Source organism: Homo sapiens, chromosome 7 (genome assembly GCF_000001405.40).
Source record: "Homo sapiens chromosome 7, GRCh38.p14 Primary Assembly".
NCBI lineage: Eukaryota > Metazoa > Chordata > Mammalia > Primates > Hominidae > Homo > Homo sapiens.
Genome location: NC_000007.14, coordinates 30,583,402 through 30,601,524, shown reverse-complemented (window position 1 = coordinate 30,601,524; position 18,123 = coordinate 30,583,402). Strand labels below are relative to the sequence as shown.

The 18,123-nt window shown below is 40.4% G+C and overlaps 1 protein-coding gene across 2 annotated transcripts in view, besides 5 other annotated features; it reads right to left on the bottom strand.

The window, feature by feature from the left end:
* Window positions 1–6,790, bottom strand: part of GARS1 (glycyl-tRNA synthetase 1) — a 39,299-nt gene extending 32,509 nt beyond the window's left edge. Inside the window, exons 1-4 of one of the 2 annotated variants that reach the window (NM_001316772.1) lie at window positions 6,382–6,790; window positions 2,628–2,729; window positions 1,476–1,578; window positions 325–466 (exon numbers count right to left, since the gene is read on the bottom strand). In NM_001316772.1, coding sequence (NP_001303701.1) covers window positions 325–466; window positions 1,476–1,578; window positions 2,628–2,729; window positions 6,382–6,441 — 407 coding nt within the window. In that variant the 5' untranslated portion in view covers window positions 6,442–6,790. The remainder of the gene's footprint in view (window positions 1–324; window positions 467–1,475; window positions 1,579–2,627; window positions 2,730–6,381) is intronic. The other variant, NM_002047.4, reaches the window with a different exon arrangement.
* Window positions 5,351–5,964: an enhancer, noted in NCBI's record as "NANOG-H3K27ac-H3K4me1 hESC enhancer chr7:30635177-30635790 (GRCh37/hg19 assembly coordinates)". NCBI's record gives its function as "activates a minimal SCP1, AML or CMV promoter by ChIP-STARR-seq in primed H9 embryonic stem cells {active_cell/tissue: H9 hESC(primed)}" and the evidence as "EXISTENCE:reporter gene assay evidence [ECO:0000049][PMID:30033119]".
* Window positions 5,356–5,455: a silencer, noted in NCBI's record as "silent region_18069". NCBI's record gives its function as "represses an Ori minimal core promoter by ATAC-STARR-seq in GM12878 lymphoblastoid cells {active_cell/tissue: GM12878}" and the evidence as "EXISTENCE:reporter gene assay evidence [ECO:0000049][PMID:35858748]".
* Window positions 5,965–6,578: an enhancer, noted in NCBI's record as "NANOG-H3K27ac-H3K4me1 hESC enhancer chr7:30634563-30635176 (GRCh37/hg19 assembly coordinates)". NCBI's record gives its function as "activates a minimal SCP1, AML or CMV promoter by ChIP-STARR-seq in primed H9 embryonic stem cells {active_cell/tissue: H9 hESC(primed)}" and the evidence as "EXISTENCE:reporter gene assay evidence [ECO:0000049][PMID:30033119]".
* Window positions 6,579–7,192: an enhancer, noted in NCBI's record as "NANOG-H3K27ac-H3K4me1 hESC enhancer chr7:30633949-30634562 (GRCh37/hg19 assembly coordinates)". NCBI's record gives its function as "activates a minimal SCP1, AML or CMV promoter by ChIP-STARR-seq in naive and primed H9 embryonic stem cells {active_cell/tissue: H9 hESC(naive and primed)}" and the evidence as "EXISTENCE:reporter gene assay evidence [ECO:0000049][PMID:30033119]".
* Window positions 6,599–6,948: an enhancer, noted in NCBI's record as "active region_25816". NCBI's record gives its function as "activates an Ori minimal core promoter by ATAC-STARR-seq in GM12878 lymphoblastoid cells {active_cell/tissue: GM12878}" and the evidence as "EXISTENCE:reporter gene assay evidence [ECO:0000049][PMID:35858748]".

The window sequence follows — 18,123 nt, the reverse complement described above, 5'->3', positions numbered from 1 at the left end:
ATGCTATCATTAAAAATGCTTTAGATGAATAGTTAATGATATGAGTATATGTTCATCAATATTACATGAAAATAAGCAGTGTACTGCTAACACTGAAATACATAGGGACGTACAGAAAAAACAGGAAGGACAAACACAATCATCTTAACATAGCTATCTGTGAGCAGAAGGTATACATTTCTTTGCTTTTCCATATTTTTCAGATTTTCTACATGAAATGAGTAGTTCTTTATAATCAGGAAGTTATTTAGATAAGTATATTAAATAATTTAATAAGTTATTTTATTTAAAGTAGGATACCCCCACTCCAAAGTAAGATCTCACTTTAAAACTGGCTCAGGGGTGAGCATGGTGCAATCGATCTCCAGGATCTGTTCCTCTTGGATAAAGTGCTGCCTCCAGGTCTGAATAATATTGTTCTTCAAAGCACAGCCAACTGGCCCAAAGTCATACAGACCACTAACACCTATAGAATATGAGAGGAAAACACATACTTTACCTTGTTACTCTGAACAAATGAAGGCAAGGAGACATGAGAAACTGATACCTATACTCCCTAAAAGTGTATTCAAGTCAACAATGCAAATCCCTCAATACTGAAGAACCTTACTTTCAGCTAGCTGATGGAAGTAAAATAAAAAAGCTCTTACGCCATTTACTAATTCTATATTTGTAATTTCAAGTAGGACTAGCCCAAAATCTACAACAAAAGTTCCCCCTTAGAGAACAGAATGAAAAAGCAGATTACAGTTTTCTGCCGTAAAAATTACAAAATAATTTCTCACCACATCTGATAACAATGATCTATAATTTTAGCATCCAATTCTCTAATTTTTTCCTGGGTATTTGAGGCACTATTTAACCTCAAAAGGGTAAACATTTACAGATCCACTTAGCCAAACTCAAGTCAACTTTCAGTGGCAAAGTACTATATGTCTAATGTTGTTGTAATAATCCGTTGACTATGAAAAATATAGTTTTACATTTCATCAGTGAATTGTATTTGCCTATATACCTTCATATGGCATTCACAGTGATTTATCTACATCCCTGGGAAGAATGTTTTCTCCTGGCAGATGACCATAAAGAATAATCTAAGGACTGTTTTATCACTGCCCCTGTGTGAAGGGGCATAGTATAGTTAGCCAGTACTACAATGGCCCTCTGTTACTCTTCAGTCTCCATTGCATTTTAAAAAGAGTACATGAGTACACAGACACATCAAATACATACATGGGCCTCCAACAATTCCCTACATCCTAATCAAAAAAAGTGCTGTCCAGGAATAAATGCAGTGGAGAAAAATAACAGGTATCACACCAAATGGTGACTCCAAGCAAACAAAAGCAAAACATCCATCCTCTGCTTTGTGGCCTGATACAAGTGGATACCAACAGGCAAGCCATGTTCTTGATTTAAGTATAATATTAGAGCCACTAACAACACAATAGTTCTTTTTGTCATTAATCCCTTACCTCCATAAATAGCAAAAGCTTGATCATAGAAAAACCTCCTCTTCAGGGTATCTTCCATTTTTGCTCGGTCTACAATATCATCTTTGGGCTGTAACGCCAGCTCCTGTTAGAGATTAAATAAAAAGTGAGTGAGTGGAGGGGTGGGTGGGAATCTGAACTTATATATCTGAATTTAGTTTATTCCTCACCAGAATTAAATATAAAATTTATCAAACAGACAAGATTTTGATAGGTTAAAAACAATAGAAGCCATAGGTCTTTTTTTCCCTTTGAGTAATATAAAAGATATCTTTACTTAATCATTTAGGAAAATATATGATCATTTCCAAGATTACAAGACTAAGCTTGACCAGGTGCGGTGGCTCACACCTGTAATCCCAGTACTTTGGGAGGCCGAAGTGGGTGGATCACCTGAGGTCAGGAGTTCAAGCCCAGCCTGGCCAACATGGCAAAACACTGTCTCTACTAAAAATACAAAAATTAGCTGGGCTTGGTGGTGGGCACCTGTAATCCCAGCTACTTGGGAGGCTGAGGCAGGAGAATCACTTGAACCCGGGAGGCAGAGGTTGCAGTGAGCTGAGATCGCACCATTGCACTCCAGCCTGGGCAACAGGGCGAGACTCCATCTCAAAAAAAAAACAAGACTAAGTTTACTTTGATGTAGATACTGATAAGCAATATAAAGCAATATTTGAATTGTCAGTGGATTGCTATAGCAAAATGGTTACTTTAAAACCCCAAAACAACTTAAGTTTGGTGATGGGAGATCTATTGTTTGAAAGGTCTGGGAGCAGGTATCAAATAAACAGACCTTTTCCTTAAAACAAACAAACAAACAAAAATCATTATTTTCAGGCATAAGAGAAGTCGTAAAGAAGAGCACAATCCTTTCCATGGAAATTCATATAGCGTATTGAGTCCAGCATTTGCAGGGTCAGGAAGGCTTTATTAAAAAGTTGACATTTTGAGTTGCATTTTGAAAGGATGAGGAGTCTACCAGGTAGAGGGAAAGGAGAAGGCGGCATTATGGATAAACAGATAAACCAAATGATACTTGTTCAGAAACTTTTCTAGGTCTCTCCCATCCAAAGAAATTAAAGATGAACAATCCTATACCTACTTATGTTCCTATTTTAGCATCCCAGGACTCACCTTTGCTTCCAGAACCCTCTTGCGGGCTTTGAGCTCAGCCACTGCTTTGTCTACGTCTACTTGGGGTGCTTTATCTTCTTTGAGTTTTCGCACAAGATCTCCCTAGCCAAGAAAGAGAATTTATATTCAGGATTGGTTTCAGAAGTTAAGAAATGTTAGGAATGTGTTTTTAAGCGTGCCTTTTAAAAAGTCTATGTAAGAATGATGCAATTCAGGCCAAGCGTGGTGGCTCACGCCTGTAATACCAGCACTTTGAAAGGCCCTCCTCACCATCTGAGATCAGGAGTTTCAGACCATCCTGGCCAACATGGTGATACACCATCGCTACTGAAAATACAAAAATTAGCCGGCCGTGGTGGTGGGCACCTGTAATCCCAGCCACTTGGGAGGCTGAGGCAGGAGAATCACTTGAACCCGGAAGGCGGAGGTTGCACTGAGCTAAGATCATGCTACTACACTCCAGCCTGGGTGACAAAGTGAGACTCCGTCTCAAAATGAAAAAAAAAAAAAAAAAAAAAAAGAATGATGCAATTCAAATGTTTATTATGTGAGTGATCATTATGAATCAAGGTCTCTGCCCTCTTCATTTAATAATCTAGAAGAACACACGGGCAAGTTAACAAATAACTGCTCACATGGTGAATTTTTTCCTTTGGGTATAGAGGGGTGAAAAAGGAGGAGACAAAAGCATTGATTAAAAAGTAGGAAAGAGCAAGATTTGTACTGAGAACACAGAAGAACCAATAAATTGACCACCTTCTTAAATCTCTCTCCTCTCGCTTACAAAAAAAAATAAAAACATTATTCAGTTTTCCTCCCACTTCTCTGACCATTCTTCTCAGTCACTGCTGGCTCATCTTCCTTTGCCTTTCTCTTTACAGTTGGAATTTTTTCCTTGCTAATATTTCTGAATTATTTTATTAACTTCCAACAACTTATACTAATTCCATATTTATAGTAATATGGTGGAATAGGTCATCTGAGTAAACAAACAAAATATTACCTATATAGGATGAAAAACTTTCAGCTGAGTAATTAAAGTTGTTAAATTGATATAGCCCTTGGGCACCCAACAGAGTTTCTAATTTCAGTGATCCATTTCCATACAATATGTGCTTCATTTTCACACTGTGTGATTGTTTTTGGTAGTCTCTTGTTCTTTGCTCATGTTTTTGAGTACTTCTTTTATTTTAAAAATTATCTTAAGCATTTTAAAAATATGTGATTATTCTAATACTTTTGGAGGATCTAATTCTATTATCATTTCCCCTAAGTCTCACTCAAGGTGGCTTGTTTCCTCATGGGTTTTTAAATTTTGAGTTTGGCACTTACTATTTTGGTAACCTTAATCTGTGAAAAATCCTAAAAGACCAATGTGGAAAGTCTGCTTCTTTTGTAATATGACGTTCTGGGTAAAGTATATGAAGAAAGACATATGTAGGTGGAAAAGGAAAAATAATTTTAAAAGCCGTTTCGGATAATTGTGGATATTCTTTGATACTACCTCAAAACTCTGACAAGTGGTAGCTTCTTCAAGGTTATTTCTAACTCAGAAACTATAGCAATGAATTTTTTGTACTGTCAGAATAAATCTATTAATGTATCTTAAGCTTTGAATGGCTCTTTCACCAATACCTGATTTCATAACATCATGCATTGGTCACCTGGAAAACACTGGTTCACTGAGTTACGCAGATTATCCAAATACTATCAAAAAAAAATCCACGTTTGTTAATATCACCACTCATCTCATCACAGATATCTTTAAGGACTGTGAAGCTGCCAAGCTCACAGCAAAAGATACGAGTCTTCCCAAATTCTAAAATTTCCCCAAAGTTTGAATTTTATTATTGGCCACAAATACTAACCGTTGTTTTCTTAAAGTGACAAACTCACTTCATTCATTTTCCAGATTAACAAATTTCTATGAAACATGTGCTACTAACAAGACCAGTCATTAAGTAAAAATCCCACTCCGGAAAGGTTTTCAATTGCACTTCACAATGGAGTTATCCAAAATGGATAGGGGTGACAGTGTGTCTCATTTCCCCATATACAAAAAATGGGTAAAATTAGATCATCTTTAAATTATTTTTCAGCTGACATAGGACTCAGTAATTCACACAATTAACTAACTGATATATGTGTGTTCTTGGAAAATTAGAAAAAAATATCCAAACTAACTTAAATCAACTAACTCGTATATTCGGAAAATATCTTAAAGTACAAAACAATAATCAAGACAACATAAACAATACACAAGACAGTAGTTAGTAGCATCGGAAAGCTGCCGCGATCAAAGTTTACTTTAGTTAACTAGATCCTGTCTTAACTACCGATGGATGATTTTCACTGCAGTTCCAGGCTAACGTGGCAGAGGGAGGGGTTTGGGTGTGGTGGTTTTTTTTTTTCTCCAAATTAGTTGTATGCTTCCTTCTAAAGGGAAGGATATTTTTTAAAATGGCAAGTTAAGAAAAGACAAAGGAACCACACCTAATTTTATTTGTGGAGTGGAAGGTGGGTGGAGGGAGACAGAATATGCAATCGGTGTTCTGACACCAATCATGAAGAAAAAAGTTAAGCCCGTGGTGATATTTCAAAATGAAAGGCTATTTATTAAAATCGGTCAGGCTCAAACCAGCGAAGAGGACAGATGGCAAAGTGGCTGAATTTGCGGCAGCTATGCCCCAATGAATTATTTCCGAGATAGGGTTCCACCCTCTGTAGCTAAGGCAAATTATTGCATCAGGCGCCCATGCAGGAGAAACCCGTTTGGTGTTTACTACTAAGTCATGATCTCCGGGGTCCTACTGCAAGCTCTGGCTCTCCCTAATTGCATATGGGAATCATCTGAAATAATCTTTTCCTTGATATCTCTAAATTCTAAACTCTATGGCAGTGCCCTAGGAAAAGGAGGTCTATATTAAATCACCAAGTCCTTCAGCCCATGAAACCTTCCCTCACCTTCGGGAAAATCAAATGTCAAAATATTCCATACTAAGGATGGCTGACTTCACTCCGCAACACTTAGTTTCCCAGGTTTACGATCTGAGGGCTCACTGGTTCCAAACGGCCTTTTCAGAAGCCAGAAAAGATGACAAGAGCAAAGGATGATGAGTTCACAGCATTAATAGAAAAGTTCGACACCTCCCCACATCCACATTTCAATTCTATTTTCTCAGCCAATCATTCCGCTAAACTAAGCACTGAATGAAGGAAGATGTTAAGGGGGAAACACTATCAAAGCATCCTAAAGATTAAAGGGCCTGGCCGTAAGACGAAAGAACCGGCAGTTTTTCGGCTCATCATTGACCACTGAAAGAATTAGGAGGCTTTCCACCCAGGGTGCACAAAGAGTACAGCAGAGCCTGGAAAACTGAAGTTAAGGTTATTCAGTTAGGAGGCGAGGACAACCAAAGGGTCACAGATCCCAGCCCCACTGGAAATAGAGGAGACGCGGGCTGTGACAGAATGGGGAAGGGAGAACGGAGCCGGAGAGGGACGCAGGAAGTCGGAGGGGTTCCAGGGAGTCATCCAAAAAGAGAGGAGGACGGAGGTCCGCGGGAGAGGAGGTGGCTGACGCACGGGGGACTTGGGACCAAAGTGGGGGAGGCGAAGAAGACGCCAGAGGATGAAGGGAAAGAAAGGGGTAACCGAAGAGGAGGACAGTTCCCCGGGGAGGAGGGAAGGATGACCAGAAGAAGGCCCTGGGAGGAGAGCCGGAGGCTTAGCGGAGAGCGCAAAACACCGGTACCTGCTGGCGCACTGCTAGCCTCAGAGGTGCCAGCACCTCCTCAGCCCCCGCGCCGTCCATGCTGCTCCGGGAGGCGGCGGCGGGCAAGGAGATCGGGGGGCAGGAGGCCGCGCTGAGGGACCGGCGGAGCAGGAGCGAGGGTCGGGCTAAGAGCCGGGGCGGCAGCAGCAGCAGCAGAGCGGCGCGAGCACCTCTAAGCAGCACTGGACGCGGAGAGGGCATGAGCCTGCGGCCCTGGGCTGTCCAGAGAGGGTGGCGACGGAAGCGGCGCGCGCCGCCCGGCTCGGAGCATGATGAAATCGCCGCGTAAACGACGCGGCGCGCGTGCTGCCGCACATTCACCACCGCGTGACGCGGCGCCGGGTCGCCGCCGCAGATTCGACACAAAACCCGGAAGGACCCCGCCGAAGGTTTTCTCCGGTTCGGGAGAGAGGTAGGTAGGGTTGCGAGCGAACAGATTTGCACAGAAGTGCGTCAAGCCACCCCAGCAGGGTGGATGTTCAGGGACACAGCTCTGAGCGAGACCTGCAGGCCGAGACACACGAGAACCTTCAAAGCATAGGTTTTTATACGAGTGACACCCCGGCCGACCTACTTGAACGGACACTTCTGTTTCTGTTCTTTCGCGCCCTGCGCCTTAAAAGGGTCGCAAAACATCAAATCAGATAGGGATCTTAGACTTCTGTTGCTCAAGTGCAGATGTTCCCCAGATAAGGAAATAGGCCCAGAGAGGTTAATGATTTGCCCAGAGTCACACATTCTTGGTCCGCCGATGTCAAGACAAAAGCTGGCGAACGGGGGAGGAGGAGTGAGGGGATAGAGTCACCCCAGGCTTTCTGGAGAAGGTAAATTCCAATCTGCCCTTGCGGGGCGAGCAGGATTTGAACCGGCAGAGATGAGGAAAGGCAAGAGGTGCCTGATAAGTCTTTCTGCTTGGCATAGCCTCAGTCTATCTGCCTCCTGTGGTTAGGCCCCAGCTGACCAACCACCCAGAGATGGCTTCCCCCCGCCCCACACACCCAGTTCCTCCTGCCCAAAGGGTGGAGGGCCTAGAAAAGCTGGGTTCCCCCTCCAGGAAAGGAAGAGAAAAATGATGTGTTGGTTATAAAAACAGCATTGCGCACACCTGCAAAAATGGCTAAAATGAAAATGATGGAAAATGCCAAGTGACCCTCTGAGACTCCCCTACACTGCTCAGGGGAGTGTTAACTGGTGCAGCCAGCCACTTGGGAGCTCTTCGGCAGTATGCACGTACGTCTCCCTGTGACCCACAATCCCACCCCAGGAGTGTGCAGGAGTAGACGGGCTCAGTATAATGAAGTCTCCTTTCCTAATGGTGTGAAAGTCCATGTTATTTCTCTTCCCGTTCCAGTGTGCAGTTCTGGAGAAGTACTTACAATTCAACATGAGCAGGGTGGGTTGCTTAAGAACCTTCTGCAATATTGAACAATTATATTTTTAAACACTTTTATTTCAAGATTTGATATTAATTATAATTTATTTGGCTTTTATTTTACTAGGCAATTTTGAATTTATTTTAATATCTTTAAATGTGAAAAATCATTTTAAGTTTTACTTTTATTTTTATTTAGATTTTTATTAAAATGTTGAAATTCTATATCCTTTGAATAAAACTATTTTATTTCTAAAAAATTCCTTAGATCAATAATGTCTCATCCATTTTCATGTTAGGACAGTCCTGAAAGGACTCCAAATCCGTTCTTCCCTCCTCCCCGACCAATTCATCCTCCCCACTGCTGCTTCAGTCATTCTTTCTTTCTTTTTTCTTTTTCTTTTTTTTTCCAGACGGAGTCTCGCTCTTTCACCCAGGCTGGAGTGCAGTGGCGTGATCTTGGCTCACTGCAACCTCCGCCTCCCGGGTTCAGGCGATTCTCCTGCCTCAGCCTCCTGAGTAGCTGGGATTACAGGCGTGCGCCACCACACCCAGCTAATTTTTTTATTTTTAGTAGAGACGAGGTTTCACCATGTTGGTCATGCTGGTCTCGAACTCCTGACCTCGTGATCCGCCCGCCTCAGCCTTCCAAAGTGCTGGGATTACAGGTGTGAGCCACTGCACTCGGCCCAGTCATTATTTCTGAAAGGCAAATCTGACTGTGTCCCTTCTCTTCTCAGGACACTTCAGTAGGCTCTTCATGGCCCTTGGAAGAATTTCCCAAACAGTTTTCTTTTGAAAACTGTGTCTGCACAATAATGATAATAGTTTATGTTTGTTGAGCACTCACTATGTACCAGTTAGTTCTAATTTATCTCATGGAATTTATTCACCAATTTAGTGAGATAGGTTCTATAGTTATTCAGAATTTTCACATGTGGGATTCAAGGGACTGAGATATCAAACAGCTTGTCCATGGTCACACAACTAAGTGAGTGTTGGGCCAGAATGTGAGCTGGGGGCAGAGGCAGATTTTCTACATAGCTAATGAAGCTTCAAGTGAGTTTAGCCCCTTTCTCTGTTGGGCTCTTTAAGTGCCCTGCAAGAGGCCCTAGTATTGTGTATGTATGATCATATATTTTTCTTGCTTTATTAAAGTTCATTTCTTTGAGGGAAATAAATTTTGCATACATTAAAATGAACAAAAATGTATAGTTCAATGGGTTTCGACAAAGCAATATCCTTTTGTAACCCCAACACCAAGCAAGATAAAGAACATTTTCCCCTGACTCCACAAAGTTCCCTTGCATGTCATCCCGGTCATCCCACCCTCCACAACCAGGCGATCACTATTCTCATTTATTTTCCTCTTAGATCTAGACTGTTGTATAAATGAAATAATGTAATATGTACTCTGTGTCTGATGTCTTTAATTGACCATAATGTGTGAGAGATTAATCCATATTGTTTCACATATCAGAAACTTGCCCTTTTTTGCTCTGAAGTATCCCATTGTGTGAATATACTATAATTTATTAATTTATTCACTAGTTGATAGACATTTGGGTTGTTTCATATTGTAGACCATTATGAATAATGCTGCTGTGAACATTCTCATACATCTTTTTTTGTAGCTATATGTTTTCATTTCTCTTGGGTAAATATCTAGGTGCGGAATTACTGAGTCAAACAATAGATGCATATTTAATTTTATTAGATTGTCACAAGTTTTTCCAATGTGGTCGTATTATTTTATGTTCTTAAGAGCAATATATAAGAGTTCTAGTTGCTCCACATCCTTGTTAACATTTGATGTTGCCGGCCTTCCAGATTTTAGCTATTCTAATAGTTGTATCTCATTGTGACTTGTATGCATTTTCCTGGTGATTAATAGAGTTGATTGTGTTTTCATGTGCTTAGTGGTCATTTGTACCTCTTCTTTTGTGAAACATCCACATTTTTTGTCTTTGCTTTTTAATATTGAATTATAGGAGATTTAGATATGCTGGATACAGTCCTTTGCTAGGTACATGTTTCATAAATATTTTCTTCCAGTCTGTGGCTTGCCTGTTTGTTAATGATGGTTTTGATAAGCAGAAATTTTTAATTTTGATGAAGTCTAATTTATCAATTTGTTTTTTTTCTGGGTTCTAAAAAATCTTTGCCTACTCTCAGATATTCACCCATATTTTTGTCCAAAATTTTAGTAGTTTTATGTTTAGGTCTATGATGCATCTTGAATTAACTTTTGTGTATAGTTTTAGGTAAGAGTCAAAGTTCATTCTTCCCATATAGATATCCAGTTGCTACAGCATCATTTGTTGGAAAAAAGTAGGGCTTACAAAAAATTACTGCCATTGATCAGCTCTAGTGCCTTTGTCAAAAATAAGTTCACCATATAAGGTGGACCTATATCTGGGGTCTCTATTCTGTTCTAATGATCCATTTATCTATCAATCTTTATGCTAGTATCACACTTCCTTGATGACTATTGCTTGAGGATAATTCCTGAAGTCAAATAATGTATATTGTCTACCCTTTCTTCTTTTTCAAAATTGTTTTTCTATTCCAGGTTCTTTCTATTTCTATATAAATTTTAGAATTGACTTATCAACTTTGTAAAAATACCTGCTGGAATTGTGAACCTGTAGTTTAATTTGGGGAGAATTCATAGTTTAAAGCACTGAATGCATTTTGATAAATATATTCCTAAGTATTTTATTCTTTGAGTCTTGTGAATGTTATTTTATTTTCCATTGATTTGCTGTTAATGTAGAGAAATATAATTGATTTTGTATAGTGACATTGAGACTTTCACTTATTAGTGCTATTATTTGTTTTGTAGGGGCGGGGGTTGTAGATTCCTTAGGATTTTCTTTTTTTTTTGAGACGGAGTCTCGCTCTGTCGCCCAGGCCGGACTGCGGACTGCAGTGGCGCAATCTCGGCTCACTGCAAGCTCCGCTTCCCGGGTTCACGCCATTCTCCTGCCTCAGCCTCCCGAGTAGCTGGGACTACAGGCGCCCGCCACCGCGCCCGGCTAATTTTTTGTATTTTTAGTAGAGACGGGGTTTCACCTTGTTAGCCAGGATGGTCTCGATCTCCTGACCTCATGATCCACCCGCCTCGGCCTCCCAAAGTGCTGGGATTACAGGCGTGAGCCACCGCGCCCGGCCGATTCCTTAGGATTTTCTGTATTAATATGCATATACTTTGTAAATAGAATCAGTTTTACTTCTTTCTTTCCAATATTTATGCCTTTTTCTTTTACTTGTGTGGTTGCGTAGTCTAGGTCATCTTGCACAATATTGAATAGAAGCAGTGAATGAACATCTTGCCTTGTTCCTGATATTAGAGGGAAAAGTGTTCAATGTTTCTCCATTTAGTGTAATGCTAACAAATTCAACTTGGTTTTGTCTTTCTTATATTCTGCTGGATTTTATTTACTAACATCTTGATAAAGATTTTTGCCTGTATGTTCATGAAAAATGAACATACAGGCAATCAGTGTATTGTTTTCTTTTCTTGTATCTTTGCCAGGTTTTGGCCTGGCTTTATAAAATCAGAGTTTCTTTCTTCTCTATTTTCTGAAATTTCAATATTTGTAAGATTGTTATCATTTCTTCCATAACCATTTGATAGAATTCACCAGTGAATTCTGGAGTTTTCTTTGTGGAAAAGTTTTTTTGCAGTTGCAGAGCCATCCATGCTTTCTATTTCATCTTTTGCCACTTTTGGTAAGTTTTGTTTTTCAGGGAATCTGGCCATTTCATATAAGTTATCAGATTTATTGTTTTAAAGTTGTTCATAATATTCCAGTAGTATTATTTGAATATATGTATAAGATCTGGAATGAAATCTCCTCTTTCATTCCTGATACCAGTAATTAGTTTTTTTCTCTCCCTCTCTTTTCTTGATTAGTCTTGCTAAAAGCTTACCAATTTTATCAATTTTGTTAAACATAAAAGTTTTGGGTTTGTTAATGTTCTCTATTATTTTGTCTATTTTCTATTCCATTGATTTCCACTTTTATCTTTATAATGTTTTCCTTTTTACTTACTCTGGGTTTAATTTGCTCTTCTTTTTTAGCTTCTCAATATGAAAATTTATAAGCCTTTCTTCTAAGACAAACATTTGAAATTATAGATTTCCTTCTACTTACTGCTTTAGTTAAATCCACAAATTTTTGATACATTGTTTTCATTTTCATTTAGTTCAAAGTACTTTCTAATTTTCTTTATGATTTCTTCTTTGACTTACTCCTTGTCGAGAAAAGTGTTATTTAATTTCCAAATATTTAGGGCTTTTTAACATATCCTATTATTTTAATTGTTGCTTTCTAGTTTAATTCCTGTGTGATCTGAGAAAGCCTTTTGAAATTTATTGACTTGTTTATGACTCAACATATGGTATATCTTGGCGAACACTCCATGTGTACTTAAAAATTGTGTATTATCCAGTTATCGTATGTAGTGTTTTATACATGTCAATTAGACCAAGGTGGTTGATAGTGTTGTTCAGATCTTCTGTATTACTTCAACCCAAATAACAGACAGAGGGAGATTCTCCAGAGATATTGAGTTTATTTGAGATGTGCAGGGGACTTGCAAATCCAGGATATAGGGCTCTTGGGACCATAGGCATAACTGAAGAGGCTGAGGCAAGGGGAAGCTTTTAAAGGCAACAGGGAGAAGGACACATAATTTGCCTTGAAACAGAGAATATTGGTTACAGGGGCTTATCACAGGAGTTGAAGCCAGTTCATTAGTGAAGACAGTGTGTCAGGCAGGTGTTGTTGTACATCTGGCTAGCTATCATTGTGATTCATGTAGCAGTTTGGGAAGTCTTTGACAAAAGTTCTTCTTACAGGCATGGGTGGGTAAGAGCTCTTCAGAGAGTCTTTGTAATCGTGTTCTTATCATAGATATGTGTGCAACACCCCCCCACACACCGCCCTGCTTCTCAGCCTCCCAGCCTTATTTATTTATTTTTGTTAGAGTTTGACATAAGTAATTCCACTTAGATTCTGACAACTTTCATGATCATTACTAATTTTTTATCTAGTTCTATCAGTAACTAAGAGAAGAAGTTAAAGTATCTAACCACGACTGTGGATTTGTCTATTTCTCCCTTTAGTTCTTTCACGTTTGCTTTATGTATTTTGAATTTGTTATGAGGCATGTACACATTTATAATTGTTATATCTTACTGGCAAATGGCATTTTTTTTATTATGAAATATTCTTCTTCATCTCAAAATATACTTTTTATCTTATAATATATTTAGCCTAACATTAATATAGCCACTCCAACTTTTTTATGATTAGTGCCAATAGTCAGTGAGGACCTGTGGCCTCCTGCCAACAGCCATGGGGTTGAGCTATGCAGGAGGTAGATTTTTCAGCCCCAGTCCAGCCTTCAGATGACTGCAGCCCCAGATGACATCTCAAATCTAACCTTATGAAAGACCCTGATCCAGAACTTGCCAGCTAAACTTCTTCCATATTTTTGACTTTCAAAAACATTGAGACAATAAATATTTGTTGTTTTTTAAGCTGCTAGTTTTAGAGTAATTTGTTACATAACAGTAGATAACTAATACAGGAATCTTCCCTGAACTGAGTATACAATTCCTTTTCTTGAGAAGTGAAGTCCCTTCAAGGTGCCTCTTGGGGCTTTGACAGTGAGTGTCACAGCAGTGAGGTAGTATCCTCCCTGAATCTTCTGTGCCATATAAGAGCCCTGGTACCTGTCATATAGTCATTTAATCAACATTTACCCCTTGAGAAGCTGAGAGTTCCAAAGTGATATGGTTTGGCTGTGTCCTCACCCAAATCTCATCTTGAATTCCCATATGTTGTGGAAGGGACCCAGTGGGAGGTAATTGAATCATGGGGCCAGGTCTTTCCTGTGTTGTTCTCATGATAGTGAATAAGTCTCACGAGATATGATGGTTATTATAAGGGGGAGTTTTCCTGCACAAGCTCTCTTTGCCTGCTGCCATCCATGTAAGATGTGACTTGCTCCTCCTTGCCTTCCGCCATAATTGTGAGGCTTCCCCAGCCACGTGGAACTGTAAGTCCAATTAAACCTCTTTCTTTTGTAAATTGCCCACTCCTGGGTATGTCTTTATTAGCAGCATGAAAACAGACTCATACACAAGGCTTGATTTTTTTAGTCTTATTTCCTTAGGCTCACGCAGCCCTAGCAGGAGCCAACACAGGTAGGTGCACTGAAGATCAAGCCTCAGAATGCAGGATGAGTCAGCCCAGCCTGTGGACCAGATGATCTGGCCTCATTAATCCTCTCTCATTGACTCTCCTTTCTGGCCTGTGACCCATTAATAATGTTTTGCCCCAACTTCCAGCCTCCCTTAGCAAAGATTTGTTTCAGCCTCTGTCGTCCAAAAACGAGGAGGTGAGGTCCCTCGAATTCTGTGGGACAGTGTCAATAGCTGAAGCAGTGCAATTTGTTGTAAGATTTAATTCTCTTTTGATTTTGCTGGTACAGAAGCATCAGGAGGGAAGAGGTTTGTTTCTCTTCCCTCCCTCCTTGATTCCCAGGGCATAGGTAAGGGAAAACTTTATCTTCTAATCTGTTAAAGTAGGGTTGGGTCGGGGGTAGGCATTCAGGGGCTTGGAGAGTGAGAAGCAGAAGTGGCCAGAGTGACAAGATTTTCTCTGAGGTGAAAGCCTGCAGAACCAAGGCCTGTGGATGCCAGAATAAATGGAGATGTGTTCACTGACTGTGACAGTGCCAGGGTCTCAGGGAGAAATGGTCTTGTGTTGCTCTGGCGGAGATTGGGTCCTAGCGATGGGATTCTGAACCTTTGAAAGGACTCCTGTGTTCCAGCTTGACACTGAGTGACCAAACTTTTGGCTTTTTTTTTTTTTTTTTTTTTGAGACGGAGTTTTGCTCTTGTTGCCCAGGCTGGAGTGCAATGGCACAATCTCAGCTCACCACAACCTCCCCCTCCCGGGTTCAAGTGATTCTCCTGCCTCAGCATCACTAGTAGCTGGAATTACAGGCACCTGCCACCATGCCTACAAAAATACCATGTATTTTTAGTAGAGACGGGGTTTCTCCATGTTGATCAGGCTGGTCTCGATCTCCCAACCTCAGGTGATCTGCCTGCCTCGGCCTCCCAAAGTGCTGGGATTACAGGTGTGAGCCAGCGCGCCCAGCCAACTTGTACTATTTCTAAGCTAATACAAGTCCATTTCACATAGATAACACATTACATTTCTACAGAAATCATTGTATTAAGCCTACTGAAATGCATCTTGCTGTTTTTTGAACTAAAGACCCATGTATAAGTGATAGTTCTTTCATATCAGTACATGAATCTGAGGAGACCCTAATTTTCAGTGGCCACAGGTCCTTAATCTGCTGTGCTTTTCCCTGGCAGTGCTCAACAGCTGGGAGCTGCCCCATGGAAAGGGACTACTGGCCTAATCCCAGACTGGGGTTTGACTAAAAGGTTGCGCCAGGAGGACAAAAGGGCAAGAGAGTAAGACCACCAGCAAGAGAATGACCAAAATGATAGACTTGGGCCATATTTTGGGCTAATTGTGCCCCCCAAAATATATATGTTGAAGCCCTAACCCCCAATGTATCAGTAGTTGGAGATGGGGCCTTTTGGGGGGTAATTAGGTTTAGATGAAGTTACAAAATAGAGCCCTCATGCTGGGATTAGTGCTCCTATAAGACATCAGGAAGTTTGCTCTCTCTTTCTGTCGTGTGAGGATACAGTGAGAAGGCAGCCATCTGCAAGCTAGGAAGAGGGCCCATGCCAGAACCTGACCATGCTGGCACTCTGATTTTGGATTTCTAGTCTCTAGAACTGTGAATAAGTACGTTTCTATTGCGTAAGCCACCCAGTCTATGGTATTTTATTATGGCAGCCTGAGCTGACTAATATAGGCTTCTAGATTGGAAGGGGAAGGAAGTAAAGAGAGAGAATTGATAGGGATAAAGAAGAGGCATCAAGAGACTTGGGGTATCTGCTACTGAAGACATCAGCTCTCTATGACAAAACAGCACAGCATGTTTGGAGTAAGAGAAAGCTGAAGTCTCAACAAACAAATAGATTCTTAATGTTCTATACCACCGGACAAACTGCAGCCCTTTTATACATATGGAGTACTTTCTGGGCCAGTCCTGTGGCCCCTTTCAAATGTATGGTGTTGAAACGTAGTAAGTTTATGTTTTTAAGGTCTGCCCCTCCCTTCTTGCATTATATCATAAACTCTTCTCTTTTTTTTTTTTTTTGAGACGGAGTCCCGCTCTGTCACGCAGGCTGCCAGGCTGGCGTACAGTGGCGCAATCTCAGCTCGCTGCAACCTCCACCTCCTGGGTTCAAGCGATTTTCTTGCCTCTGCCTCCTGAGTAGCTGGGATTACTGGCACACACCACCATGCACAGGTAATTTTTTTATATTTTTTAATAGAGACAGGGTGTTGGCCAGGCTGGTCTTGAAATCCTGACTTCAGTGATCTGCCCGTCTTGGCTTCCCGAAGTGCTGTGATTACAGCCATGAGCCACCGTGCCCGGCCAACTCTTCTCAGTTCTAAGTGTCCTAACACCCTTCATCTCCTGCTGACTGCAAGGCAGTTCTCAGGGAGGAGCCTGGATTGTGTCCATGTATAAAGAAAGACTCTGCTGCTGATGTGCAAAGGAATGTGGATGTGATAGTTTCCAGCCTGAAAGTCCCCCTCTTTTCATCTCCGCAGTATAGTTCTTAGAAACAACAAGCCTTGCTTTTACAGTGAGTCCATATCTAAAACTTTATCTGAACCCAAAATACCTGAGATAGGTCTCAGTCAATTTAGAGAGTTAATTTTGCTAAGATTAAGCATGTATCCAAGACAGCTTCAGGAGGTCTTGACAACGTGACAACATGTGTCCAAGGTGGTTGGGGCACAACTTGGTTTTATACATTTTAGGGAGATATGAGACATCAATCAATATATGTAAGATGTACATCAGTTTCGTCTGGAAAGATGGGACAACATGAAGCAGGGAGGGGGCTCCCTGGTGACAGGTACATTTGCATTCTTTTGAGTTTCTAATTAGCCTTTCACTGATACATACCTATGACCTGGGTTTCCAGGTCATAGGTACGACTGCATTCTTTTGAGTTTCTAATTAACCTTTCACTGAATACATAACTTACAGGAATAGTCACTTATGCCTTAGTCTGGCTTAGTGAAACAATAGGGAAAAGGAAGCAATTAGATATGCATTTATCTCACATGAGCAAAAGGATGACTTTGAGTTCTGTCTGTCTTTTGTCTACAGGGAATTTTCTTGTGGGCAAATTGTGAGGGAGGTATGTAGCTTTTTTATCTTTGTTGCTATCTTGTTTAGGAGTACAATGGGACGCAGGTTTGCCCCACAGTTCCCAGCTTGGCTTTTCCCTTTGGCTTAGTAATTTTGGAGTCCTGAGATTTATTTTCCTCTCACATCTCCCCGTTTTTCTTTTTAAAATCTTTCAGAGACAGCATTTTAGAAGAAAACAAGTCTCTGGTCTCAGGCTTTGTCTGATCTCTCATGGCTAGGATAGTTTATTCCTAGATGGATAAGTACCACGTTATTTGGAAAGCTCATTTTTAGTAGGTTATGAAGTCTCATGTCCTTTGAAGAGAAAATAGGGGGAGGAAGGAAGAAAAACAACAACAAACAAACAAAATGAAGAAGAATCCTGGAAAATCAATATAGGCCGTATTACTCTGAAGTCCATGTCAGTAGGCAGGTATGAAAGTGGTTTATGTGTGTAAATAGGTTGCTATTATTTTCTTCTGAAGTTTACATTGTCTAGCTTCAGTCTGTAGGGCTTTAAGAAAGACTGCTTAATTTTAAGTGATTTCAAATCAGGAAAAATGGGGTGGGGGGAAGTAAACGAAAGAAGAAAAAAATTGAAAACATTATTTTGGAGACTTGTAGCCAGGAAAAATTTTTGAATTCAATCTAAATTGTAGAAAATAAAAAAAACTGAAAAACATTAGGCAAGACTAGAATCTAATAACAGGTGTACTATAGTTTATGTTGAAATATAATTTTCCTCTCTCCAGTCTCATTTTCACTAAAGACAAGTCATAGGACAAATTCATTTGCAAAATAAGTTGTAGTCTTATTATACTTGGCTGGAGTATTTGCATAAAGTCAGAAGAATAATTATTTGCTATATAGGCTCCTCTTTTTTTTTAATTGGCTTTGCTAGAACTTTATTCCACTAAGAATCTCAGATTTAACTTTAATGCATTAAGCCTGGCCTGTGCCTGCAAATCCTTGCGTTAGTTGAGTGAATTCCTCACTTCAAGGTCCCAAGAAAACTTGGGGCTCCTGGGCCT